At 37.5% G+C, this 8198-nt stretch overlaps 1 pseudogene, besides 1 other annotated feature; it reads left to right on the top strand.

Annotated features, from left to right (window-relative positions):
* Positions 5881–7080: an enhancer, noted in NCBI's record as "CDK7 strongly-dependent group 2 enhancer chr12:79187167-79188366 (GRCh37/hg19 assembly coordinates)". NCBI's record gives its function as "activates an origin of replication core promoter dependent on BRD2, BRD4, P300/CBP, MED14 and CDK7 cofactors, with strong dependence on CDK7, by STARR-seq in HCT116 cells {active_cell/tissue: HCT116}" and the evidence as "EXISTENCE:reporter gene assay evidence [ECO:0000049][PMID:35650434]".
* LOC642550 (RAS like proto-oncogene A pseudogene) lies at positions 6211–7143 on the top strand (annotated as a pseudogene).

The raw sequence follows: 8198 nt of genomic DNA, 5'->3' as shown, positions 1-8198 counted from the left end.
TTAATTAACATAACCTATTATTTCATTTTAATTGTAATTTTGTGCTAGGAATAGGATTTTTAAAACTGTTACTTTGGAAAGTAGACTGTGATTTTCTCCTAAACCATTTGCTCATTCTTGTCATCATCCTTTATTATTCCAGTGCTTGAAATTCTGATACAAAGATGTATTTTTAAGTGTTCTTGTACTTGGGAAAATGTCGGCAGAGTCCCAGTGAATCTCTAAAAGCAGTGAAACTGCATTCATATTTTCTATTAGAATGATGTATGGAAGGAGACAGATGCTGATGTGGTCTAGAATCAAGGCAGCCAGGTGCTTAGTAAGGATTATGTTTGCTAATTTAAAAAGAGGGAGGGGAAGTTACACACATTATCAGTCTAAAAACAGGGACAGAAGCACCGTTGAATTCAAGCTGTGTCATTTATTCCGTCACTGTCATGCCTGTGCTACCTTCCCCTCCTCTTCTACTGTATTCTTCCATTTCTTCAGTTTCCACCCACATGAATTGTTGCTACCACCTATTCTCCTCCAAGGGAGTTAGGAGGGTGGACTGGCAGCTTTAGCTCCCTGGAGAGCTGGTGCAGCTAGAGCTCTGGAAATAAGCTCACTGTGAGTGCTGGATCCCTTCTGAGCACTGAGATTACACACTGTGCTAACATGTTTGCAGTTCCATATTTTAAGCTCTGTGTGATTACAAATGTTTAATAGGCTAGTAAGATCACCCATAGGAAAATGTTAGTAGAAACTATATTTCAGAACAATTTCCAAATGCTTTTCTTCCCCTGGCTCTAAAAATCAGGGCAGGATTGAGAGACTGTTCACTTGTAATAGGATAAAAGTAGAGGGCTGCTTACTTCAAAGGCTTTTGGATCAAGCTCTTAAGGAGAGCAATTAAAAATGTATCCATAGCAGGACACCAGGACACGGATGTACACTGATATACAAGGGGAATGACTTTATTTTCTTTTTTCAATAATCAGATATGAATGAAGCTCCCTGCGTCACGCTCTACCAGGATCTCTGAGAGGCATTCCTTCTGTTTCAAAGTGCCTTTACACCAACTTACAAAGTATGACAATAAAATAATAAAAAAAAATTAACAAATACCACAATGAGTGTTGACCTTCTTAGGAATTGCCCTGGGAGACTGTATGTTGATGATAATTATGTTACCATGGCTTAAAACATTTTATTGTGGCACTATTCACAATAGCAAAGACTTGGAACCAACCCAAATGTCCAACAACGATAGACTGGATTAAGAAAATGTTGCACATATACACCATGGAATACTATGCAGCCATAAAAAATGATGAGTTCATGTCCTTTGTAGGGACATGGATGAAGCTGGAAACCATCATTCCCAGCAAACTATCACAAGGACAAAAAACCAAACACCGCATGTTCTCACTCATAGGTGGGAATTGAACAATGAGAACACATGGACACAGGAAGGGGAACATCACACACCGGGGGCCTGTTGTGGGGTGGGGGGAGGGGGGAGAGATAGCATTAGGAGATATACCTAATGTTAAATGATTAGTTAATGGGTGCAGCACACCAACATGGCACATGTATACACATGTAACAAACCTGCACGTTGTGCACATGTACCCTAGAACTTGAAGTATAATTAAAAAAAAAAAAAAGAAAAGATTTCCACTTAAAAAAAAATTTTTGGAACTCCTCTTCTTGAATTGTGTTCAGAGAGCTGGTTTTACAAACCACCTAAGAAAATGAATTTCGTTACCTTGTAGTCACACCTCATCTTTTTCACTGCTGAGTGTATTCAGGATGAGTTTAAAAACTGAGATATTTCATAACCAGATTGAATTTGATGGAATAATATTTGTCATTGATGGTATTTACCAGTTTCTGACTTAAAAAAACTCTTAATTCAAGTATTCATGAATTGCTTATTGAATTTCAGCAAGTAGTTCATGAATTGTTCAGCATCTAGCAAGATTAATTAAATAATATCTACAATATTTCCATAGAAATGGGATTATTATAACTAATTTGCAGTATTTTCACATGGCAAATCAAAAGAAAATAATATTTTAAAAACTTATGAAGAAGCATGGTTCATGTGTTTTCAGAAGTTCTAGAGAATGAGACTGTCACCCTAGGGAGGAGACTGACACGGTAAATTCTATAAGCTTCAAGAGAAATGTAATGCAGAAAACAGAAAAGACAATGATTAAAAATAAAATAATAACTTTGTAGTTTTGACTATAATAACCAATGAGGGAAAATGAAATTCAATTTCTCAGTTGCATATGAGTAACTCAAACACAGCAACTATAAATACAGTCCTTAATTTAAAAAACAATTCAAACACCATATGTTTGGTTTGTTATTTTTCTCAATTTTGTTTCTTGCTTCTCAAATGTATATAGGCTTTTCTGAAAACTTTATGTTAATTGCTAAGTAACCAGTGAAGGCAACGGAACACAATTTTTAAAATCAAGTTTCACTGAAATGTCAATATAATGTAAAAGCTCTCCAAAATCAGTTTTGAGTTATTTAAAATTAATCTCTAACATACTATGGATCATCAGCTATTGTCAAATGAATAGCATTCTAATTACGCAAATCAATTTAATATAACTGAATAAAATTTTTGAAACACAAGTAATAGGTCATGAATAGGTTATATTGCAAATGTTCATTGACTATTATTGCAAAATGTAACTCACAGTACAGGCATGCCTCAAATATACTGTGGGTTCAGTTCCAGACCACTTCAATAAAGTGAGTCACAAATTTTTTGTTTTCCCAGTGCATATGAAAATGATGTTTACACTACAGTGTAGTCTAAGTGTGTAGTAGCATTATATATAAAAAATGGACATACCTTAATTTAAAAATACTTAATTTAAAAATACTAATTAAAAATACTTAATTTAAAAATATTTTAATTTAAAAATAATTTAAAAATACTAAGAAATGATAACAATCATCTAAGCCTTCAGCAAGTTGTAATCTTTTTGCTGGTAGAAGGTTTTGCCTTGAGGCTGATGGCTGCTGACAGATCACGATAGTGGTTGCAGAAGGCTGGGTTTCTTAAAATAAGACAACAGTGAAGTTTGCCACATCAATGGACTCCTCATTTCATGAAAATTTCTCTGTAGCATGCAATGATGTTTGGTGGCAGTTTACCCACAGCACAACTTCTTTCAACTTGGATTCAATCTTTTCAAACCCTGCCACTACTTTATCAACTAAATTTATGACTATTCTAAATACTTTGCTGTCATTTCATTCCTTTCTTTCTTTTCTTTCTTTCTTTTTTTTTAAATTGAGGCAGAGTCTCGCTCTGTTGCCCAGGCTGAAGTGGAGTGGCATGATCTCAGGTCACTGCAGCCTCCGCCTCCTGGGTTCAAGTCATTATCCCACCTCAGTTTCCTGAGTAGCTGGGATTACAGGCACACACCACCATGACTGGCTAATTTTTGTATTTTTAGTAGAGACAGGGTTTCACCATGTTGGCCAGGCTGGTCTATAACTCCTGACCTCAAGTGATCCACCTGCCACGGCCTCCCAAAGTGCTGGGAATACAGACATGAACCACCACGCCTGGCCTTTTTGTTGTCATTTCAACAATATTCACAACATCTTCACCAGAATTACATTCCGTCTCAAGAAACTACTTCCTTTGTTCATCCATAAGAAACAATGCTTCATTCATTCAAGTTTTATGAGATTGCAGCAATTAAGTAAAATCATGAACTCCTCCACTTCCAATTGTCTTGCTATAGCCACCACATCCACAATTACTTCCTTCACTGGAGTCTGAACTCCTCGTGGTCATCCCTGAGGGTTGGACTCAACTTCTTTCAAATTGCTGTTAATGTTAATATTTTTATTTCCTCCCATGAATCACAAATGCATTTAATGGCATCTAAAATTGTGAATCTTTTCTAGAAGTTTATCCATCTATTTTGTCCATATACATCCATAGTGATCTATGGCAGCTCTAGCCTTACAAAATCTATTTCTTGATCCACAGACTTCAGAATAGGTATTATGTTAGCAGGAATGGAAACAGTATTAACCTCATTGTACTTCTCCTTTAGAGTTCTTGGGTGACTAAGTGCATTCTCAATGAGCAGTAATATTTAGAAAGGAATCTTTTTTCTGAGCAGTGGGTCTCAACAGTGGGCTTAAAATATTCAGCAAGCTATGCTGTAAACAGATGTGTTGTCATCCAGGCTTTGTCATTCCATTTATAGAGCACAGGCAGAGTAGATTTAGAATAATTCTCAAGGGCCCTAAGATTTTTGGAATGCTTAATGAGTACTTGAGTACTGCCTTTAAATTTGAGTCATCAGCTGCATTAGCCTGTGGCAAGAGAGTCAGCCTGTTCTTTCACACTTTGAAACCAGGTATTGACTTCTTCTCTCTAGCTATTAAAGTCCTACCTGGCATTTTTTTCCAAAGTCTGTCTCATCTGCATTAAAAATCTATTGTTTAGTTACAGCCACTTTCATCAGTACTTTTAGGTAGATCTGGATAACTTGCTGCTGCTTCTCCATCAGCACTTGCCACTTTACCTTGTATTTGATGCTGTGGACATGGCTTCTTTTCTTAAACCTTATGAACCACCCTCTGCTAGCTTCAAACATTTTTTCTACAGGTTTTTCACCTCTCTCAGCCTTTATAAGATAGAAGAGAGTTGGGACCTTGCTCTAAATTCTGCTTTAGCAAGGGACTTTTGTACCTGCTTTCTTCCTTTATCCAGATCACTAAAAATATAAATAAATAAATAAATAAATAAATAAATAAATAAAACTTTCCCAGACAAACAGTAAGGTTGCTGCTTCTTTGCTTCTTTTTCTTTTCTTTTCTTTTTCTTTTTTTTTTGAGACGGAGTCTTGCTCTGTCACCCAGGCTGGAGTGCAGTGGCTCGATCTTGGCTCACTGCAAGCTCTGCCTCCCGGGTTCACGCCATTCTCCTGTCTCAGCCTCCTGAGTAGCTAGAACTACAGGTGCCCGCCACCATGCCCAGCTAATTTTTTGTATTTTTTAGTAGAGACGGGGTTTCACCATGTTAGCCAGGATGGTCTCGATCTCCTGACCTCGTGATCCGCCCACCTCGGCCTCCCAAAGTGCTGGGATTACAGGCGTGAGCCACCGCACCCGGCCCTTTTTTTTCCCCTTTAATTAATCATGGGTTCACTGGGGTAGCACTTTTAATTTCTTTCAATAATCTTTTCTCTGCATTTACAACTTGGCCAACTGTTTGGTGCAAGAGGCCTAGCTTTTGGCCTATCTTGGCTTTTGACATGCCTTCCTGATTAAGTTGAATCATGTCTAGCTTCTGATTTAAAGGAAGATGAATAACTCTTTCCTTCACTTGAACACTTAGAAGCACTTGAAGGATTATTGCTTGGCCTTTTCAATATATTGTTTTCTGTCGGGATAAGGACTGATATCTAACTGAGATGCAAAATTTTTAAGCACAGTTGAGCACAATGACTTAGGCGGTCTCATGCAAGGTATGCTCAGTTTCTGCAAAATAATAATAAAAAAGAATATTTTTCCATTTTACTTCCTTTCTCGGTAATCAACATAGCATCCTGATTTATAGGGGAAAAGATGTGGTCAAACCCACAGGTAACTGATACAGAAGTCATTTGCAAAAGCCTGCTGAAACCCAAGGCCTTTCCACCACCACCCCTGCTTCCCCAGAAGAGAATGCCATGGTTTGGTTGCTTATGTCCATTATCCCATTATTTTTGTTCAACTCTTGATTGTTGCTCTATGTTAGAGGATGTGTAATAAACGGTCTTGCTGCTTACTAAGATTTTTGCCTTGTAGGAGAAAAAAATAAGACAAGAGCCTAATTACTCTTTTTGTGTGATTCCAAATGCTCCAACAGGCTACTCTTGTATTTATCGTCCTTTCCATATCTCAGGATTCAACTTTTTAGGACCTTGCTATTCAAAGTGGGGTACATCAGCAGCAACATTGAGATCACCTGGCAGTTTGTTAGAAACAATGAATCTCAGATACACTTTAGACCCATGGAATAAACATCTGCGTTTAATAATATATCCTAGTGAATCTCATGCACGTCAATATTTGAAAAGCACTACATTAGGAGACAGAACTATCTGGGTATGAATTCTGGTATTACCTCTTAAAAGCTTTGTGACCTTGGCCGACTGAGGATCATATTCATCATAGGTGAAATAGAAATAATAAAGACTCCTCCTTCGACTGCTCCCAGTGCGGGGCCTCGCAGGCGACGTGGGCCGAGCACCCGCTGCTTCCGGAGCCCTCGGGGCGGCGGACTGGCTCACGGTGCAGATTCTTCCTAACCTGTTGGTGAGAACTACAACACAAGATGGCCGCAAATAAGCCCAAGGGTCAGAATAATTTGGCCTTACACAAAGTCATCACGGTGGGCAGTGCCGGTGTGGGCAAGGCAGCTCTGACTCTACAGTTCATGTACGATCAAAGAAGGCACCTATCGGAAGAGAGTAGTACTGGATGGCGAGGAAGTACAGATCGGTATCTTAGAAACAGCTGGGCAGGAGGACTATGCTGCAATTAGGGACAACTATTTCCGAAGCAGAGAGGGGTTTCTCTGTGTCTTCTCTATTACAGAAATGGAATCCTTTGCAGCTACAGCTGACTTCAGGGAGCAGATTTTAAGAGTAAAAGAAGATGAGAATGTTCCATTTCTACTGGTTGGTAACAAATCAGATTTAGAAGATAAAAGGCCGGTTTCTGTAAAAGAGGCAAAAAACAGAGCTGACCAGTGGAATGTTAACTATGTGGAAACATCTGCTAAAACACAGCTAATGTTGACAAGGTACTTTTTGATTTAATGAGAGAAATTCGAGCAAAAAAGATGGAAGACAGCAAAGAAAAGAATGGAAAAAAGAAGAGGAAAAGTTCAGCCAAGAGAATCAGAGAAAGGTGCTGCATTTTATAATCAAAGTCCAAATTCCTTTCTTATCTTGACCATACTAATAAATATAATTTATAAGCATTGCCATTGAAGGCTCAATTACTGAAATTACTTTAACATTTTGGAAATTGTTGTATATCACTAAAAGCATGAATTGGAACTGCAATAAAAGTCAAATTTACTTAAAAAAGAAATAAATGTGGCTTTACCAAGAGGCAAAGTTCAACTTATTTCATTATTGCCTACATTTATCATCGTCCTGAATGTAGCATATGAGCTTGCTTTTCTCAGGCAGTCTTTCTTGAAATGTTAAAGAGGTGAGATGGGGGTGGGGAATGGGAGGAAAGGTGACTTTCTCTCGTGTTTTTTTAAATAAAGCTTAAATTTTATATCATTTTAAAATATATTGGTCTTCTACTACCTTGAAAAATGACAATTGTGAACATGATAAACTGTACCACTTTTTTTTAAACCATCGTTATGCAAAATTTAGAAGAAAAAGTTATTGGTATGGTTGTTGCATGTAGTTAAACTGAGAGTAATTCATCTGTGAATCTGATTTAATTACCTGTTGAGTAATTTAGAAAAGTGCTGTAAATGTGTACATGGAAATTTTTGAATATACCTTAATTTAGAAACTGAAAAACACCCAGTTATATCATTCTGGATGTGTTCTTGCTGACACCAGGGTTCCACTGCCCCATGTGTCATGGTGAGAAAATATATGCCCAGCATGGAGTACTGCTTTTGTATAAAAGATCCTTGAGAAGTAACTGGCTGCTAGGACTCTGCCTAAATTTAAAATGTTGGCCATTCTCTGTTTCTTGAAAATATGATTCCAGATCTCTTTGATCGCTTTTAATAAACTGCAAGGTCATTTAAAATGAAGGACCAGCATGTAGTTGTAAGAGAATTTTTGACTGCGAGGATTCAGCACCAGTTTGAATGAACTCTCTTTTTCTCTAAGATGCTGGTCCCTGGAAATCACTTTCTGCCAGTGGAGAACATGTAAGTGTTAAGTTTTTAATCTCCTGGGAGCAGGGCACAGGAAGAAAATGTCAATAATGCTAATGCATTTTGCACTGGAACACTTTGGGAAAATATTCATGCTTGCCATCTGTTCATTTCCAAGTTTGTATTCATGAAGTTACAGTTTTATATAGGAATTATTAGGAGTAAATTTTGTCTGTTTATGTTCATAATGAAGAACACTGTAGCTACATTTTCAGAAGTTAACATCAAGCAGTCAAACCGGGATACAGTGCAGAAAATATGT

This window comes from Homo sapiens, chromosome 12 (genome assembly GCF_000001405.40).
Source record: "Homo sapiens chromosome 12, GRCh38.p14 Primary Assembly".
NCBI lineage: Eukaryota > Metazoa > Chordata > Mammalia > Primates > Hominidae > Homo > Homo sapiens.
The sequence above is the reverse complement of the archived record's forward strand: the minus strand, read 5'-3'. Positions and strand labels throughout refer to the sequence as shown.